Genomic DNA, 20004 nt, shown 5'->3' on the forward strand with positions numbered 1-20004 from the left:
ATGTTGGCCAGGCTGGTCTCAAACTCCTGACCTCAAGAAATCTGTCCACCTCAGCCTTCCAAAGTGCTGGGATTACAGGCATGAACCACCACACCTGGTCTCTGGTACTCTTCAAGTCTTATACTGCCTGGATATTAGTCAGCTAGAAATAACAGTCCTATGAGAAAGAGCGAATATCATAAAAATCTCACTATAAAGGCAGGAATAGGAAAATATTAGGCCCATCAGCACACCAGCAGCTAAAAATATTACCCCCAGGCAGAGATTTAGCACGTGCTATTTTAACGTCCAGTGGAATGAAGGAGATCTCAGTAAATGAAAGTAACATCAGTCACTCTAATAAGGTCAAATGGTGCTACAAGAAGAGAAAAAACCTCCATGAGATTATTTCAATTGCTAATGAAATTACAAATTAGCCTTTGGAGCTCAGTTCATCTTTCCTCAGCGGATAGTGAGCTAATAAGTAAATGTAAAAAGCAATTACAAAATTTACACAGACTTTAAAAACCTCCCCATGATCAAAAAGCTAGCTCAGAAGTTTCAACAAAAACAACAGAGTTTTGGTTAGACAGAAATCTTAGTGGTTGTATAGTCCATAGGCCAAAGCCCTTCCTAAAGTGCGGACAATCCGACCTGCCTTTTAAAGCTGATAGATTGTCCGAAGAATATATATAAATGCCAGTGAGCACTTGAAAAGATGCTCCATCATTAGGGAAATGTGAATCAAAATCACAATGAGATACCACTTCACACCCATTAGGATGACTATTACCAAAGAAATGGAAAATAACAAGTGTTGGTGAGCATGTGGAGAAATTGGAACCTCTGTGTCCTGCTGGTGGAGATGTCAAATGGTGCAGCCACTAGAGAACACGGTATGGCAGTTCCTCAAAAAATTAAAAGTATAGGCCAGGTGCGGTGGCTCACACCTGGAATCTCAGCACTTTCGGAGGCAGAGGCAGGAGGATGACGAGGTCAGGAGATCGAGACCATCCTGGCTAACACGGTGAAACCCCGTCTCTACTAAAAATACAAAAAATTAGTCAGGCATGGTGGTGCGCACCTGTAGCCCCAGCTACTCGGGAGGCTGAGGCAGGAGAATGGCGTGAACCCGGGAGGTGGAGCTTGCAGTGAGCTGAGATTGCACCACTGCACTCCAGCCTGGGCGACAGAGCGAGACTGTGTCTCAAAAAAAAAAAAAAAATTAAAAGTACAATTACCAGGTGATCCAGCAATCCCACTTTTGGGTGTATACCAAAAGAACTGACAGCAGAGACTCCACACAGATATTTGTATATCCATGTTCACTGCACTATTATATACAATAGTCAAAGGTAGCAGTAACCCAACTGCCCATTGTTAAATGAATGAATAAACAAAATGCAGTAAATACATTCAAAGGAATATTATTCAGCCTTTAAAAAGGAGAAAATTCTGGCACATGTTACAACATGGATGAACCTTGAGGACGTTATGCTATGGAAATAAGCCAGTCACATATAATACAAGTGAAATAAGCCAGTCAAAAAAGAATAAATACTACATGTTTCTGCTTATATGAGGTACCTAGAGCAGTTTATTTCATAGGGACAGAAAGTCAAATGGTGATTGCAATGGGACTGGTAGGGGAATGGGAAATTATTGTCCAACAGGTGCGGAGTTTCAGATTGGGAAGATTAAGTTCTAGAGATGGATGGTGATAATGGTCGCACAACAATGTGAAGTGTACTTACTGTCATTAAACTGTGCACTTAAATATAGCTAAAATGGTACATTTTATGATATATATTTTTACCACAATAGAAAAACAAAAAAAAGAAAAAGTAAAGAAGACTTCTTTGTGTAAATATGAAAAGAAATTAAAGCACGTTGAGTAAGAGGTGTCCCTTACCTAAGGATCCAAGACAAATAACAGAGTAATTTTATTTACCTTTTTATATACCTTTATCTTCTTTAAAAGTGCCTTATGTACAAACTAAAAAAATTTATATCCTAAATGATATACGGGATTTGCTTCAAAATAATCAACTGGGGCATAGAGGAAGTGGGGAAGTAGAAATGAAACAAGATTTACCTGTGGTGAATCATTGTTGACACTATGTGATGTGTGCATGAAGGTTCTTTATATTATTTCCTCCACTCTTGTATTCGTTTGAACTATGCCACAATGAAAAATTGTAAATGTTGCTTTATATTTACCATATACAACAGTTTTAAACAAAATATCAAGCCACTGAAGAGCAGTGAATTCTAAAATAAGGTAAAGAAAATTTTTAAAAGAAAATATTCCTTAGATGTCATCACTTCCATTGGTAGGAAAATCCATGTCCCTTTTCTGGACAATTACAATGAACAGTTCACATACACTGAAGAACTGTTATTTATACAAGCTTTACATGCACTGTTCACATAATACTAACAATATACCACTTTACAGATGTGGAAATTCAGACTCACAGAGGTAAAGTAACTGGATTCACGTTAAGTGCATTTTAACCCAGACAGTCTGGCTACAAGCCCTTCAGCTTAACAAGTACATTTCTTGAATTACGAGGGTATTTTTTTCTTCTTTCCTGCTAGCCAATTTAGACAGCCTCAACAATCCTGAGTTGCCAGAATTAGAAAAGCCTGATTGAGAACCTATGAAAAGAGGTATTTTGTTTTTTAAGGGATATGATCAATACCTTTGCCTCATCTGTCACAGTAAATCCCTGAGGAGTTTCAACATTAGCTTAGGTCAATTTAGTTCATTTACTGAGCACCTACTAAGTGTCAGAGGCTGTTAAACCTTGGGCACTGTGCTAGGCACTCAGATTCGCAGAGGAATATAAATTATTCGATTATGAAGACAGATGCATGCGAATGCTCATTGCAGCACTGTTCACAATAACAAAGACATGGAATTAACATAAATGCCCATTAATAACAGACTGGATAAAGAAAAATGTGGTACATACACATCATGGAATGCTATGCAGCCACAACAAAGAACAAGATCATGTCTTTTGTGGGAACATGGAAGTAGCTGGAGGCCATGATCCTCAGCACACTAATGCAGCAACAGAAAACCAAACACTGCATGTTCTTACTTATAAGTAGGAGCTAAATGATGAGAACACATGGACACATAGAAGGGAACAACACACATTGAGGCCTATCGGAGGGTGGAGGATGGGAGAGAGGAGAGGATCAGGAAAAATAACTATTGGGTTATAACTATGCTTAATACCCGAGTGAAGAAATAATCTGTACAACAAACCCCCATGATATGGGTTTACCTATATATCAAACCTGCACATGTACCCCAGAACCTAAAATAAAAGTTTAAAAAGGTAGTCAGTGAACTACGACATGATACTGTATTGAAAACTAAAATGTAATCATGAAGGTGGAATACTAGAATTCCCTGAGAAGAGTTTTTATAAAGGTAAAAACCAACATATTAACATGATTGTATATTTATCTGGAAATAACTACATTTCTCAACGCCTATTTTTCTATTATAAAAGTGAGTAAAATGAATATTGCTCCTACTTAAAAGATACATTGAATTAGAGACTATTGCAATATAAACTGCAAGGCCTGGTATGGCATCTTGGAGAAGAAAAAATCACAAATTCCAATTTCCAAATCAAAGAAGCAACAAATCACAATAAAAAATTTAATACTTAAGGCCAGGCGCACCTGTAATCCCAGCACTTTGGGAGGCCGAGGTGGGTGGATCACAAGGCCAGGAGATTGAGACCATCCTGGCCAACACGGTGAAACCCCACCTCTACTAAAATACAAAAAATAAGCCAGGCATGGTGGTGCGCGCCTGTAACCCCAGCTACTCGGGAGGCTGAGGCAGGAGAATCACTTGACCCAGGAGGCAGAGATTGCAGTGAGCCGAGATCACGCCACTGCACTCCAGTCTGGTGATGGAGCGAGAGTCCGTCTCAAAAATAAAATAAAATAAATACTTAAATGTTTCTATTTTTCAACTTGCAGAGTTTCAATACAAATGTAAAACATACTTAAAATAGGTGTTTCTATTACATTATTTGCTATCAGAGAGCAATAAAAATAAAATTTGATAAAAAAAACTGTCAACAGAAAATAGAGGTTAACATAGTATTTATTTTAGAAACCAGAAAACCAAAAATAAATAATTTATATCAGTCAGTTCTTCCTCTTTCATGGTATTAATCATCCTATGATGAGGTGCTTGGCATCTGTGTTTGCCATGGTAAATAAGCTCCGCGATGGTTCAGACCTATCTGCACTGTCCAAAACTCTATCTTCAGCACTTACCATACACATAGCTGCCCCATACACAGCCAAGGCCAATGCATATGTAATGAATGGACTTGAATTCGAATGTCCTGTCCATTCACTCATTTATCTAGAGAGCAACACAGTAAAGAGGCAAGAGTAGGGACTTTGGACCAGGCATTCATTCACTATTTTATTCATTCATTCATGCATCTATGCAACCAATATTCGAGGACACCTATTTTGTGCCATTGTTCTAGGTCCTGAGACACTGCAGTGAAAAACAGGTGTTTCCAGCCTCACAGAGCTCGACAGTTCTGCCACTAGTCTTGGGAGGTCACTCAGTCTGCGTAAGTTGCCTTTCAGCTTTTTATTTTTAGAAAAATAGAATACTAATAACCAATATGGAAGATTATTTTAAAGAAAACAAGTCATATACATAATGGACCTGGCACACAGTAAGTAAACACTCAATAATTAACAATCAACCAAAAGCCTAAAAACAAAATACCAAATATAAAATTTAGAACCAGTGACAAATGACATTGATTTCCAGAGCGAATGCACCTAGAAAAGTTCAAAGAGAAAAAACATTGTAATAATATTAATTATGTGTTAATAGCCATATTAGTATGAATCTATTCTCTCTACATGGTACCAAATTTTCTTCAAAATCCCTTGGCATACACCATCTTAAGCATTAACAATGAAAAAATGTCCACAGATTTCTGTACTAGAGGAAAAAATTTCTATGAAACCAGTTTGGCTGACATGGAGAGCTTTGTGTGGACAATGAAGGTCATGTAGATTTGTATTGTTCTTGACATCTTCTACCAATGAGTAAATGGAGGAAATCATGTCAACTGGGCTTCTAAATGATCTACAGCCTTGGGGACACACAGCAAGCAGAGGAAGACTTGGTCAGGAAGTGTTTTGCAAAGATGGCTTTTGCAAGGACACTAAGGGAAGTTGAGACACTTGCCCAAGCTTGCATAGCTACTCAGGGGTGGGGTGAGAATTCACATCCAGCTCTTCTGACTCGCGGTCCTTTGACCCTTCATGACTACTACTCTGCATGGGCTATCACCCTCCTTTAAAAGTTCAGAGACTTAGACAAGAGAAGAGAGATTATAAAAAATAGATTCCTTTTATACCTTTTATACCTCAATTTAAAATTCTCAGAAAGGGTTCTAAACACTTTAAATCCCTTTTACCCAGAAGCTTCTGGTTTTTGCTCAGTCTTGTTAGGAATTGGAGTGGCTGTGATACATCTCTGAGATGCTATGAAATAGAGATGAATTGAAATACTTTCAACATCAGCAAATCATCTGAGGCCCCATAAACACCCTGCACAGTACATTCATGGTACATGCAGGCCTTTGTCTTACTGAAAGACAACCTATGTCATCTGATGTTAGGAGAGTCACTCACTTCAGACCACTGAAAGTTTCAAAAAAAGAGAAAAAAAGTCATAAACCAAGTAAATAATCAGTGTCATTTACCATTATATCTACCATTCCCTTACGAGGCCATGGTCTATGGTCTTCCTTTAAAAGTTCTGTTGTATTCTCTTGAAAAAAAAATAATTTGTTGAACTCTACTTTGTTTTAAGCACTGTATGCAACTGTTTAAGTATAGCATATTGTTTTATCTCTTGTCTTGGACTTGATGCTATTTGTTCAAAGTCCTTTACTTCCTGCCACTGTGCTGTCCAATCCAATGGACACTAGCCACCAAGACCATTTAAAGTTAAATTTGAATTAATTAAAATTAATTACAATTTAAAATCCAGGTCCTCAATAACACTCACCACATTTCAGGTGTTCAGTTACCTCACGTGGCTAGTGGCTACTATATCAGGCAGTGAGCATATAGAACATTTCGGTCATGATAGAAAGTTCTATTGGACAGCATCGCCATAGAGCATCAAATCCAGGACTTCCAGCTAAGATCAGATATGAACAGAACGACCACCAGAATAGGTCAGACTAAGTTCCCAATCTTATCGTTCCTGGGGTTCCAAGAGCTAAACTACAGGTCAGAGAAAAAAAAGCATCTAATCTATTTAGAGGGGTTGACTAGATATCCTGGTATAATCCACGATGCCCATGAAGCAACCAGGATGCTGATTATTCACTGACACTAAATTACAAACACAAAGTCTTAGTGGATTTATTGACAGAGAAAGAAAGAGAGGCCATAGAAAGACAAATAAATAAAGACCTGAATTCAAGCTGCGTGACTTCAGGCAAATTGTGTTACTTCTCTGATCCTAAATTTCATAATCTGCAAAATGAAAAAGTAGATTAACTCTGAGTTTCCTTTCACCTCTGAAATTCCTGGATTCTAAGGCTTTATATAGTTTGCATAATACCCAAGGAACTGTGCAGACTGCCAAGATATATAAGACAAGATGCCAAAGACTTTCCCATTAATGAGTAGAGGAAGCTGTCTAGATAGGGCTAAACAATGTAAGACGGGACATTTTAAGTATCATAAAAATGGTATTACCAATGCATCCTACAGAAGCCTCCTCTTTATCTTACCAGAAAAATATGACTGGAGGTAGTGGAAACATTCACTTTTCTTTCATTATCAAAAAATATGGTAACATAGGGTACCCCACCTGGCATATATCGGGTGTTTAATAATTTTTGTTGAAGAATAGTAATAAGATAAAATGATAATAATATTAATTATACTAGCAGGCATGTATTGGAAACCTAATATATACTAGGTTCTATGCAAGACATTTTCCCCAGGCTATCCCATTCTAGCATCAAACAGCTCTATGAAGAAAACATTAAAACATTTTTTATTTTTTTATCACTTTATAGATTAAAAAACTGCAGTGAAAGAAGTTAGGTCACCAAACCACAGCCACACAACTAAACAGTGGCAGAGCTGAGATTTAAAACCAAGACTTCCCAATTCTAGTGCACATGCTTCCTCCATTTCCACCCATTGTCTCCTTAAGAAAACTTTTACTTGTCAATCACCAGAAAGGACCAAAGAAGACTCTCAAACTTTTTAGGAACCCAGCTAATTTCACAAAACTGCCATTTCCTATATATTTTTCCAGACGACAAAACAACAATGTATCTTTCCAGATAGGCCACTCAGCCAAAATATTTTCTAGTCTAGACCAGGTGGCAATTTCAGTGGAGCTGGAATTGAGTTCATGATTGCCTGTTAGTGTTCCAATGTCCTGAGACTTTTGTTAATTAGACACAAGACAAAGGGCATTAAAAAGAAGCCAAGTTAAATTTGCATGGCTGTGGGCAAATGGCAGAAAGAAGTGGGCCTTTGTTTCCTACGGAACTGGGCACCCACTCTATCATCTACAATTATTTTATAATTGGGTTGATATTTTGTAGGATAGAAGCCTGAGTAACCCTGACATCCATATGCCTCCTTATCACTGTCATGAAGTGGAAAGCAAGGGCCAATTATTTGTGTTGCTCGTTTTCCACAATCTTGTTTTCAAAGAGACTTAACATTAAAGTCACTAAACTGTCCAAATTCAAAGTATTTCCACATTCTCTGCAGTGATCACATTCTGTCACCCACACTTCCTAAAAATACCCTGCTTTCCATCACTCACTAGAACCACAGAGGCTATTAGAAGGTAATAAAATCCCTCGAGGGCTTCTCTTTTGCACATTTGCACTTTCCTCTGATCAATTAGATTCAGGGAGATTGGAAGTGGGAAATAAAAGAAATAAAATTCAGGCCACAAATCCTTCTCATAATCCCACAAGTAGCACTGACAAACAACAACTGGCAAGGAAAGAGCTCAACCCTGGAAGACTCTCCTGCTCTAAACTCAATTATTATCCAAAATTCATCATTAAATGATTACTCATAAAATCCTTCTATCTACTTCTCATCAAGAAATATCATCATGGAAATATCAATGATGGTCCTATCTTATCTCAGGGTACATGTCAGTATTAGTATCACTGAGATAAAAACAGATCTGAATATGTTTAGGGTAGACAACATCCTTTGGTCCAGAAAGTTTCTTTCAAATAATCTGATTTACAAAAGACACTCCATTTAAAAATTTTTCAGAAATGGCAAGATCCTTCTCTCAGTGCCTGCCTCCCATCTGAGCCCTTAATTTAGAAATCTGAGGGCTTAAAAGGACCATGCCTTTCATAATGATCTTTTACAAACATTCCTTCCTTTTCTAGTGCGTCTTTGTCTTGTTGTCCCTTGTATATATTCCTCACTCTGCTAACATGTAGTAAACCCAGACGGATTAAGAAAACTAAGGTTCAAAAATGTTAAAGATCAACTGGGCACGGTGGTGCATACCTATACTCCCAGCTACTCAGAAGGCTAAAGCAGGAGGTTCACTTGAGCCCAAGAGTTCAAGACCAGTCTGGCCAATACAATGAGACCCCATCTCAAAAAAAAAAAAAAAAAAAAAAAAAAGCCAAAGATTATTTTTCACGACGGGGATTTCGGCGAGAAACATCGACACCCTCAGCGTTGACCAGATGGGCAGTCCTGCACTGACAAACCCACTGAGTTAATGTAGAATATGTCAGCTAGCTCAATGCTAAGAGACCAGTAATATCTGTGGCCCAGTCTCTTCCAGAGAAGAAATCAAGCCACTCCTCTCTCTGGCAAGTATGTCTCCTCTCATAAAACAGGCTGACTTCAGAAGTAGCTTTCAAAGACAATGCTTAGATCAAGCCAATCAGCGTAAGTACTCTTCCTGGTTGGGTGATAGCTCTCACTGTGACTTCATATAAGAAAAGCCAGTGGTCTTGTCTTGCTCTTCAAGAATGGAGCAGTCACGGCTGGGCACTGTGGCTCACCCCTGTAATCTCAGCAGTATGGGAGGCTGAGGCGGAAGGATGGCTTGAGCCTAGGAATTCAAGACCACCCTGGGCAACATAGTGAGACCCCATCTCTAGAAAAAACAAAAAAATTATACAGGCATCATGGCACCCACCTGTAGTCCCAGCTACTTGGGAGGCTGAGGTGGGAGGATAGCTTGAGCCTAGGAGTTCAAGGTTAAAGTGAGCTATGATTGCACCACTGCACTCCAGCCTGGTCAACAGAGCAATACCCTGACTTTATTTAAAAAAAAAAAAAATAGAATGGAGCAATCTTAACCCTAAAATAACAACCTTTTGCCAGTACCACCATATGATACCATATGTGAAAGATTTATTCAGGTACCTGAGCTTCACAAGTAACAAGGCTGGCATCTATTCTCTTCTCCAAAAGGCATTGTTTCCTCCTTTACAACTAAATAAACAGTGCAAATTATGTCCTCAACTTTAAGTCAGGTTTGAAAAGAAAAAATAAAAACAAACGAATGCAAAGCAAGAGACTATATAAGGATGAAGGGACAGCACAGGAGAATGGAGGAGAGAATGGGCATAGGAGAAAGGTGAGGGGAAGGGGGAGAGGGGTGAGGAACAGTGAACTTGGTAAGTCTGCTATTTCCAAAACCATGTTTACTGCAGTAAGATAATGAATGAGGAAAACATTTTCATTTTCTTTTCTGACAGCTTGAGCATAAATGATAGCTGCAATAATATCAGAAATTATTGGGCATTTTGAGGAGTCTTGCTAGTGAGAAGCCAGCATTCCAGCCAATTTGAAGCTCTGGCCCCAAGGTGACCTAGAAATTTTGTTTTTCAAATGCAGGAATGTCAGCTGCTGGACTGAAAGTGATGTATACTGTCTAGTGGACAGCATGCTGGCCAGACACCAAATTTGGAGTGTCTCTCCCTGTACTCAGTTGTTCTTTACGGCCAGTGCTGCCCCCACAAAGGAGAGTTTTGTCTAAAGCCGACCAAAAACGGGGGTAGTGTTTAAGATCCATCAACACCAAATAACACTGAGTTTTGACTTGTCACCTCTACAGATTCTTCAAGAAGCTGATCTGAATCCAACACCTCTTGGAGTTAGTTGGGTCTCTTCTTCCTAAGGCAGTTGATTACTACTAGTTCTAATCTAGTTAGGGGCCTGACTGAAGGAGGCCTAAAAAGTGCCAGGAATAAAAGCAGTCAAGCCTCATAATTTTATGTGTTTTTAAACAAGACACCCTCAAGTACATAAAACACCACAGCCATTGTAATTTAATCATCTGCTTATGAAAAAGACAGCACTCTAAACAGAAGAACTGATAAGGCAAATAATTTGCCTATAAGGATTTTTAAAATGTGTCTCTGACATCAAATGAACTCTACTGAGATTCCCTGTATTATGCCAAAAACCTACTGGCCAACATCCAAGACTGACTTGCAAGTACCAACCCTAATCCGGATCATGAAGCAACATTACCATCACCTGTACCCTTCAATAGGGTGATATCCACTCTACCTTAACAATCAGAGTTTTATCCGCTGTACATTTTTTCCATAAGATTCCTATGGACTTCTCCATGGAAAACAGATCCCTGGAATCTTTCTGTGATTTGGAGGAACTCCTGTAATTTGTATGAGGATAGTGATAACGAGAGAAACATCAAACACACACAAGAAATTTACACATCCCAGCTTTTCTGTGTATTCCACTTTGGAAACCAATAGCCTATGAAGATAAAATGGAAACAGCACATACATATCTTGAGTGTGTGTAAATCATCAGAGTCATATGCAATAAGTAAACAGGAGGTGTCATGAGGAGGGAAAACACCACGAATATTCCCAGTTCAGAACACACTTTCAAGAACGATGCTTCAATAGTGAAGTAGAAGGGGAAATGGGCATGAGTCAATAGAACAGCAATTTCTCTATCCTTTCTCTCCACTGTTACTAAGCAATGTCCTATTGGAACTGAACTTTTTTTCTAAGTCTTCGATTGACTTCCTAATTAATAAGCATTGTAATCTAGTGTTTATTCCTTTATGAAGGCAGAGCAGTTGAAATATCCTAACACACATATTCAACCAACACCCCTCTCCAATTATTGTGTTGTTCTTCACATTGAAATTTGGCCTCTACTGAGAAGATATTGAATGGAAAGCCCATATAAGATAGAAAAAATAGAAGCATAATGGACACACGAAATATGTGATGTCACGATCTATGTCTACACACAGATAAAGACCATTTGACCTGATAACTAGCAAATGATAAGCAAGGACGCTGTGTCTCTTTATACATTATCTGATATTATTTATATATTGTTATTTCTATCACAAAGAAAAACAAAAAACATATGCTCAGAGAATACAAGAATAGACAGACAATCCATAGGTAAGCATTAAGAGTAAAATGTACTGAAAGGAGTTACTTTTTCCAATAATGCCTTATCAAGAAAATCTTTCTTTGACAAGTAAGTTATATGTGGTCACTAATAATAAGCAAAAAGCTAATAAAAGAAGGGAAAAATGAGTAGCACAAGCAGTTCCCAGCTTAATCAACAAAATAATCATGCTTTAAAAAATGAGGTAGTACATTCTCTTCCTGAAATCATTACAGTCTGTTAACTTAAAAGTAAAATTAATGGCGATTCGATGCTATACAACACTGTGTAGAGTAAACCCAAAATTACCAATATGAGGCTCAGGTACACTAAACAGTCAAATAACTATTTCTGAAAGCCCTGTCTTCTTATTTTTTCTTTTTTTGTTCTCATAATAACTGACTGAATGACACACACTAGTTGCTGCATATTTAGTTTATTTCTAATGAAGATAACTATTAGGTGTCCAATCTACTCAGTCCTTAATCTTTTAAAGGGAAACAGAGAGGGAATACAATTGTTTAGCCTAACGGAAATAGCTTACTACTATAATTTTCCAACCAAAAGTCTAACTCTTCACATTGTATACACCCATAAGATAGAATTCAAAATTCTCACAGCTTGCATATTACAATACTCAGAGTCTTACCAAACACAAAATATTATGACTTATTTGAAACCACCGAACTCCCCCCAAAATATTTCTTCTCAAAACCAACTCTAAATAGAATAGACAGGTATCCAGTTATTTCAATTAACTTAAAAATACAATACTAATAATTTAAACTCAAGTAGATTATTTTCCTGATTTATGCAGTTGGAATGCTTTAAGACTAACATAGAAAGCTAAGTTCTGATTTATCTTTCCCATCATACTGTTTTATCTCAGACACATATAAATGCATTCATAGGTACACAGTATAGTACTGTTCGCCCAGGCTAGAGAATAAAACAGCTAGCATTGTACCAGGACGCCTGTGCATCTTTCCATTAAAGCCATAGCAATATTCCCTCAAACACATATTCATCACTACCTTTTAATGATTCTGGGCTACACGGATGAAAAGTTTTGATTTAGTGCAGGTTAAAGTAGCACATAGTCTTTCATCTTTATTCATAATCAGCTCTGATCCCCTTGCTGAAAAAGAAAGAAATGCAAACATCTTGAACTCTTCAATGGGCTTTTCTCTAATTAAAGCCTTTAACAATTTTGGGGTGTTTCAAAGCATGACTTCCTTTTTACCATTGTTAGTGTTAACTAAAGAAATATTGCCCAATAAGCACTCCAGATAATATACTCAAAAAATCATCTATAAAATGCAATAAAAATGATTGGGGCAGAAGAACACTGCATCCTTAATTTTAGTAAGATTGTTGATGATAACCAGAGTGAAGCTGCCTAAGCAATCACTCAAAAGCACATGTAATAGTTAAACGCATCTTTATTATGGTTGCTCAGTGTCTAAAAGTTTGTTGCCAGTAGCATTGCTATTAAATGTATAAGGCTGTCAAATCTATTTGTGGCCAAAAAAAAGCAACTCTGCAAGATAAATATTATTTAATGATTTAATAGGCATACGGCACTAGAATATAAATACCCATAAATACCCCAAGTCATAAAAGTAACAGAAAGTAAAAAATAATTTAGGCTAAGACAAAAAAAGACTAGAATTGTTTAGTCAAGAACGAAATTAGTAAACCACATACATTTACACAGACACAGTCTCTCTTGCCACAAAATTGCAAAGTGGTCTACTTTTATTTCTAAAATGTGATATGCTTATATCATTATTATAACCTAAATGTTTAAAGGGGGTATAAGAAAAAGCTTCTAAAATTATTACGGATGCTACTAAATCATGTGTATAACAACCAAAATATCTGGAATGCCCAAACGTGCTGTCATTGCTCAGGACAGAATAATCTATTCAAAACCAGCAGGGAACACGTGAGGAGGCCTCATTTACTTCAGTGTGTTTCCCCACATATGCATCATTTGAGAATGTCAGATCACTTTCACGTATATAGTACATAATCACTGATGATCTGGGAAATCCACAAGGCCACAAAGTTGATACATACTCTGATCTAGAGGGGGAAAAAAATCGAGAAAGCCGGAAGTTTCCCGTTTTCCAAGAAACTGAAGACATTCTTACCTTTCTGTACACCAGCATGTTGGGTGATTCATCGGCCACCCCGTTGCTGGTCTGCCCATAATTATTCCCCTGGGCCATGTCACCCAAAACTTGGTCCACTCTCAAGATACAAGAATTATCAGTGTGCCCTGCAAAGGGTCAGAGAGACTTCAGTGAGATCCCAGTGGGACTCCCCTGATTCATCATCATCATTCACAGCACCCACCCCACATGGCGCGTTCTTACAAACTGGGGCTGGCTGGAGAAAGTGACACAGGACATGGATTTTTTAAAAAGTGAGTTGACACCTACAATAACCTCAAGGAATTGTAAGAAATTACAATCTTCCAGGTAGAAATAGCCATTTGGTTATTGTTTTAGCTGACTTCATTTTCTGGATACTCATTTTGAGAAGTGTTTGATGCTCACCCTAAAAACTCGTGGGTAGCATTTTCCTAGTACAGAGTTCTCTTCTCTCCCAATACTTGCATCTGAACTTGGTGATGTTTTCCCCAAAGGGTGGAAAGGCAACACCTGGGGGATGCGGTGGGGGAGTGGGGGGCGGGTTAGCACACTTTCTCCTAGGTATCTGTCTAGTGTCCCCACCTGCAGCCCATCAGAGAGGCCCATTCCCGGTGTCATTCTCCAGCGCACGGGCTTCCTCTCTATTCCCCCGGGTCTCCCACACAGAGCCGGAGTATATGCTTCGCCTACTTTCACCTGCCTGCGCTGCCAGCCACCGGCTGCTCTCCTTTCTCCCCACTTCGCTTCGGAAGTCCGGAGGTAATCCTGCCTAATTTTTGCAAGAAGACACCAGAATATGTCCCGGCAACAAGAACTAGTGGGAGGTCAAGCCTTCAGGCCATTTTACCCGGGTCACCGTGGGTAAAAGCCTAACTGCAGAAGCCTCCAGAGCAACCAGCCAAAGAGGAGAAAACAGGCAAGCCCCTGCTCCCCTTGCTCGCTCTCACGGCAGCAGCAAATGGCAGGCGAGCCTGTGCCCCGCGCCGCGGCGGCCGCCGGAGCCGGGCAGCAGTTTCAGCACCGTGGACCGCGGGGTGCGCGCGGCGCCCGTAGCCCAGCCCCGGCGCGGGGCTCCCGGGGGCGGCCGCCCTGCGCCCGCGGACGCTCCCGCTGCGCAGAGCGAGGGCTGGGTGCGGGCCGGGGGCCGGGAGGGCTCTGGGTGGCGCTGCCTCCTCCCCGCCCGCCTTCCCTATTTACCTCCTCCGCCAAGGTCACGGCCCCGCGGCGTCTCCCCTCCCGGGCGGGCTGGGTGCAGGCGGTGTCAGCTGGCGGCAAGCGGAGCAGCGAGGCAGGGTAGCTTCATCACACTCGCGGCGGATGCGGATTCCGCGCCGCCCCGGCTCTAGCTGCTCAGGCGACCGCCACCCTCGCCTCGCCGCCGCCCGTGCACAGGCGGCTCCGGCAGCCGCCACTCGCGCCCGCTCCCCTGGGCCGCCTCGCTGGCTCTCTCCCTCCTCCGCTTCTTCTCCCGGGGACTGGGACCAGCCGAGCGCGCGCGGGAGTCGAGACGCCCGGCCCGTGCGCGCGACTGGGAGGAGGGAGGAGGGGACAGTCACGTGGGACAGGGGCGTCCGAAGGTGCCGGCTCGGATGGGCTCGGCTCGGCCGCCGCCACACCGCCCGGGCCTCCCGGGCCTCCCCGGCCTCCCGCCCTCGCGCCCCTCGGGAGGCTGTAGTCCTGCCCCCGGCGCGGCCAGCCCGCGCTCCCGCACACCCCGCCCGCTCGCCCGCGCGTGTGTACGTGCGCCGGAGGCCTGGAGAGACCGGAGTTTAACGCCCAGTGTAAGCCGGAAAGGGAGGAAGGCTGTGCGATGGGTGGGTGGGTGGTAGGTGGGTGGGTGGTCTAGTGAATGGATGGACAGATGGACGGACGGATGCACGGATGAATGGATGGATGGAGCCCCGTGCAAACCAAGGTTTCATCACGTGCCTAACGACTCCGCTGAAAGTCCCAGGGAAGCAGATGATTTATTATTATTATTATTATTATTATTATTATTATTATTATTATTATTATTATGCTTAAATAACAGAGTAGAGAGATATTGAGACACCCTAGGAATGAAGGAAATGGCCAGGACCAAATGAATCATTCATCCCCGTTTGCCTGCGGTTTTCACAGCTTCTTCCTAAGTTGGAGAAATGGGAAACGATTTGAAAGCTGCCAACCGGAGGTGAAAATCTTGCCACTTGTGAAACTGAAGGAACATCCCCAAGGCCTGGCTTCTCCTTTTAACAGAAGGTGCTCAGAGGAACTTTCCTCTTGCCCACTGCCCTCATCCTCTAGCAATTTTCAAAGAGCTTCTGAGGTGCTGATCCTCCTAGCTATAGTCTTCGTACTGCTGCCACAAATTCTTCTGTAAGGATTAGAATGACATAAAGGAGACAGATCACTTTTGTCTCGGTGGTAGTAAAGCAACCTGTGCCTCTGGCTTTCAGGGGGAAGGGCTGGGCCGCTGTAAATCTAGTTTTCCTTCCTCTCCTGGGCCAGCTGTGGAGGAGAGGGAGGGAGAGAAGGAGAAGATAATCAAGATCAGCTGTAAATCTAGTTTTCCTTCCTCTACTGGGCCAGGTGTGGAGGAGAGGGAGGGACAGAAGGAGAAGATAATCAAGGTCAGCCTTTCCTGACCCCTTGGTCTAAGCAGACTAGACCTTATTGGAGATAACACTTCTACTCAAACAGGGGTCCATGTGGACCAATGTATTACCCCAGCCCCATGCAGGTCTTGTCAGGTTTCTCTCAAGGAACAAATATTTATCTAACCTAGCCCCTGTTCCAAGTACTACAGGAGAAATATCATTGTCCCAAACTACACACACTCTAGTCTGACCTGTCTCCCACTCCAACTCCCCACATCTTTCCACTGTAGCCTCTGGAACTTAGAATCTTCTTCAGCAAAATTCTCTTCGTTTTCGACTTCTCGAAATATTTCTTTAACGTTTTTGCTCTCGCTGAAATCTACTTATCCCTCCTTTAACCCCTCTCTCTTCCCTCTTGTTCAGTCTGCTCCTGAGAAGTTGATGTGACTTGCATGACTTGGATTAATAAATTTGCAAATACAACTGGGTATGCTCACTCAGTTTGACCATTTTCCTCTTAAGAGAGAACCGCCTGAAGGAAGCAGTCTTCCTCCTCCTTTGCATCTCTGGGTAAAGTTTCCATCCTCATAGGAAGCTGTACCCAAGCTCTATATATAGAGAGCCTATATATATATATAGCTCTATTTATCATATATATAATTGGCTCTATTTAATTTATATATATAAATTATACACACACATAAACATACATATATATAATATCTCTTGACACCCTTTCCACTTATTGCCACCCTATTTTCCTTCTTCCCTTTATGCCAAAATCTTTCCATTCCATGTTGAACCTGTTCCACTTTGGCAAATGACCTCCATGGTGCTAAGCTGATGGTCAATTCTCAATTGTCATATGAATTGACTTTTCAGCATAAATTAACCCGGACACCACTCTCTATTATTTCTCTTTCTGCATTACTGGCTGCTTTTTCTCACTCTCATTGCTTGTTCCTCTTTGTCTTTTTGACCCCCAAATTCTGAAGCATCTTGGATCTTAGTCATTAAGCCTCTTCTCCTCTCAATTTACATGCACTGTACCTAAAGTGACCCAATTCAGGCTCATACATTTTAGTATTTCATTATTAAACACTAATAACTTCCAAGTGTATATTTTTAACCAGGATCTATCCCCTGAAATCCAGTCTGTCAAATGCTCACTTTACATCTCCACTTGAATATCTAATTATGCCTGATTCAGCTTGAAGATAGCAAGGATATTGTCACTGCCTCAGATCCTAGGCATAGTATAGTTGCTGGTGCATAGTAGATGCACAATAAACATACATTAATGAAATGAATGGATGTATCTAGTAACAGTAATCTGATAGGTTCTTTTGTATTTTGCAATTGTATTTTTTTTTGAGATGAAGTCTTGCTCTGTCACCCAGGCTGGAGGGCAGTGGTGCAGTCTCTGCTCACTGCAACCTCTGCCTCCCAGGTTCAAGTGATTCTCCTGCCTCAGCCTCCTGAATAGCTGGGATTACAGGCACGTGCCACCATGCCTGGCCAATTTTTGTATTTTTAGTAGAGATGTTGGCCAGGCTGGTCTCGAACTCGTGATCCCAGGTCATTCGCCCACCTTGGCCTCCCAAAATGCTGGGATTACAGGCATGAGCCACTGCATCCAGCTATGTATTTTGTAATGGATTTTTTTGCATTATCTTATTTAATTCTTACTAATGACCCTATAGTTATAATAGTTATCTCATTTACATCAATACAACAATGAGGAAGGAGAGGATCAGAAAGGTTGGGTCAACTTCCCAATACAACCAACATAGCCAAGAAGTGGCAGTGGTGGTTTGTACTCTATCGACTGCATTAGCTGGAACAATGTTTCTCAGGATCCTCTTGCCCGTATGCATGTAAGTGTATGCATGTAAGTACGGTTGGCCCAAAGACGAATTCTTGCAAGATTTGGGAAACAGAGTGAAACAGTATCTATTCCTCTCTCAAGGTCTTTGTAGTTTGCTGTGACAACACATGCAGACACCTGGAGGGTTCTAGCATGTCCTGGCCCTCCCCCACTTCACACCCAGATCTTCCAAATTTCCAGCACAGCTGATCAACAGTAGCCACACACCCATCACAAGGGCCTTAACATGGATCCAAAGAGGCAGTAGCCAGGCAAAGACAAAAGCTTTTCACCGAGTATTCTTCCAGCTTTCTTTCAGGGTCCCCCTCCTGGATGTGGCAGGCCTCCCAGATTCCCCTGGAAGTTCTGACTTGCCCATACACACAAGGACCTCAGGAAACCCAATAGTGACTTTCCTCAGATCTGTGAATTCCTTCTTCTGGAAAATAACCTTCTCAACAATTGTGTAAGTTCTCATAATACATCCCTGATTCCATTATATTCATAATGGTTCCACTTTCATGAAAGAGTGGCTGGCAGAGCTCAAATCCAAGACTTCTGGGTTCTTTTCACTATTCTACAAGAAATCCAACTTAGGTAGATAAGATCTTGAGACAAATAGCTGCATGTAAGTGAAAAACTGAATGACAGTGTATGAACTACTGAAGGAGAGATTGACATTCAAACCGGGCTCTTCAAGGACTAGCAGGATATCTACTATATGAAGGGTGAAGGAGTTTCTATTCAGACACAAAGGGAAGAAATGCTGAAACCCATTAGGAAAATTACTAGTAATAAAAACATCATGTATTGAATTCCTGCTGTCTCTAACCATATTAAAAATAGTCTTACCATAGCTGACAAAACTTCCCTATAAGGTATGTAAGACACCAATGTCCTAGTTAGGAAACTTGGCCATGATCGCACACCTTCTAAATATCAGAGTCTTGACTCAAATATGCCTGTGTCTGACTGTAAAGCCCTGTGAAAAATTATGCACAAATGCCTCCTAGCAACAGTATGAGTTTAAAAAAGCTAGAGTTCTCCCATCAAGGTGCCTCTCATTCTATTTTCTCCCTCATCTGCCATCCTTCCACACACCTACCTCTCACCGTGCTCTCTGGGCAGTTATGACTCAAGATTGTTCGTGTCTAATTACTGTTGCCAAGCAAACATGAAGAAGGAAGGTTCAAGAAATAGCATATTTCACAATTTTTCTACTGTTATTTGTTAGTCCTCATTAGACTACTCAGAATTTGTGTTACTGTATATTGGAAACAAAATTATGTCTATCACCTTAACGTTTCTACGACTTGTATTTTTCAAATATAAACTTAGTGAATTAGACTAGGTCGTCTCCAAAAACCCATCATAAGATTCAACATGTTCTCTTTTGTGCTTTCTTTCTAGATAATGGAGTCCTTTATGTTGTAAACAAGAATAAAAAAGAAAGTATAGATATTGTGGAGTAGTTTTTTTGTGGGGGGGGGGTCCTTTCTTTAAAAACCGTGTGAATATGTGGTTCTCAATCATTATATCCAAAACATTTTACTATTTTTCTTGTAAGCCTTGTATTTTATTAATATTTTTGTCAAACAAATTAAATGGTAATAATACATCCATTTTACATGCCAGGCAGAACTTCTAAATAGCAGATAAAAGACCTGTTACCTCATCAAGGTAATGAATTCCAGCCCAAACAAAGACATTTCAAGATTTTTTTTAGCTTCAGTAGCGTTACCTTGGGAAAAATAGTCAGTTTTTAAGATTTTGTGGAAATACAGGAAATAGTGTCTATTTTTGCAAATCATTATGGATATAGGAACCCCAAATCTATTGATATAGACCTGCTTTTTCCCTCCTTTTTTCATTTAACAAAAACTTAGTCATGGATTTATTGTGCATGAAGCCTTCTTAGGTTTCTACAAAG

The 20004-nt window shown here is 40.6% G+C and overlaps 1 protein-coding gene and 1 long non-coding RNA gene across 22 annotated transcripts in view, besides 1 other annotated feature; one reads left to right on the forward strand and one right to left on the reverse strand.

The window, feature by feature from the left end:
• RGS7 (regulator of G protein signaling 7) overlaps positions 1 to 15157 on the reverse strand; it is a 582489-nt gene extending 567332 nt beyond the window's left edge. For 12 of the 20 annotated variants that reach the window (NM_001374806.1, NM_001374811.1, NM_001374814.1 and 9 more), the window contains exons 1-2: positions 14826 to 15132; positions 13626 to 13753 (exon numbers count right to left, since the gene is read on the reverse strand). In NM_001374806.1, the coding sequence (NP_001361735.1) occupies positions 13626 to 13703 (78 nt within the window). In that variant the 5' untranslated portion in view covers positions 13704 to 13753; positions 14826 to 15132. Of the gene's footprint in view, positions 1 to 12503; positions 12608 to 13625; positions 13754 to 14825 lie in introns of those variants that run through there. The other 8 variants (NM_001282773.2, NM_001282778.2, NM_001282775.2 and 5 more) reach the window with 4 other exon arrangements.
• Positions 14984 to 15033: a silencer, noted in NCBI's record as "silent region_2006". NCBI's record gives its function as "represses an Ori minimal core promoter by ATAC-STARR-seq in GM12878 lymphoblastoid cells {active_cell/tissue: GM12878}" and the evidence as "EXISTENCE:reporter gene assay evidence [ECO:0000049][PMID:35858748]".
• Positions 15158 to 15178: 21 nt separating the features above from the next.
• LOC124904601 (uncharacterized) lies at positions 15179 to 19533 on the forward strand. Of its 2 annotated transcripts, XR_007067051.1 has the most exons (3): positions 15179 to 15409; positions 15750 to 15869; positions 18383 to 19533. It is a non-coding gene; the product is annotated as an uncharacterized LOC124904601 (long non-coding RNA). The 2 variants fall into 2 exon arrangements; XR_007067052.1 differs by having other exon boundaries at positions 15750 to 19533.
• The last annotated feature ends 471 nt before the right edge of the window (positions 19534 to 20004 follow it).

Source organism: Homo sapiens, chromosome 1, assembly GCF_000001405.40.
Source record: "Homo sapiens chromosome 1, GRCh38.p14 Primary Assembly".
NCBI classification, from domain to species: Eukaryota; Metazoa; Chordata; class Mammalia; order Primates; family Hominidae; genus Homo; species Homo sapiens.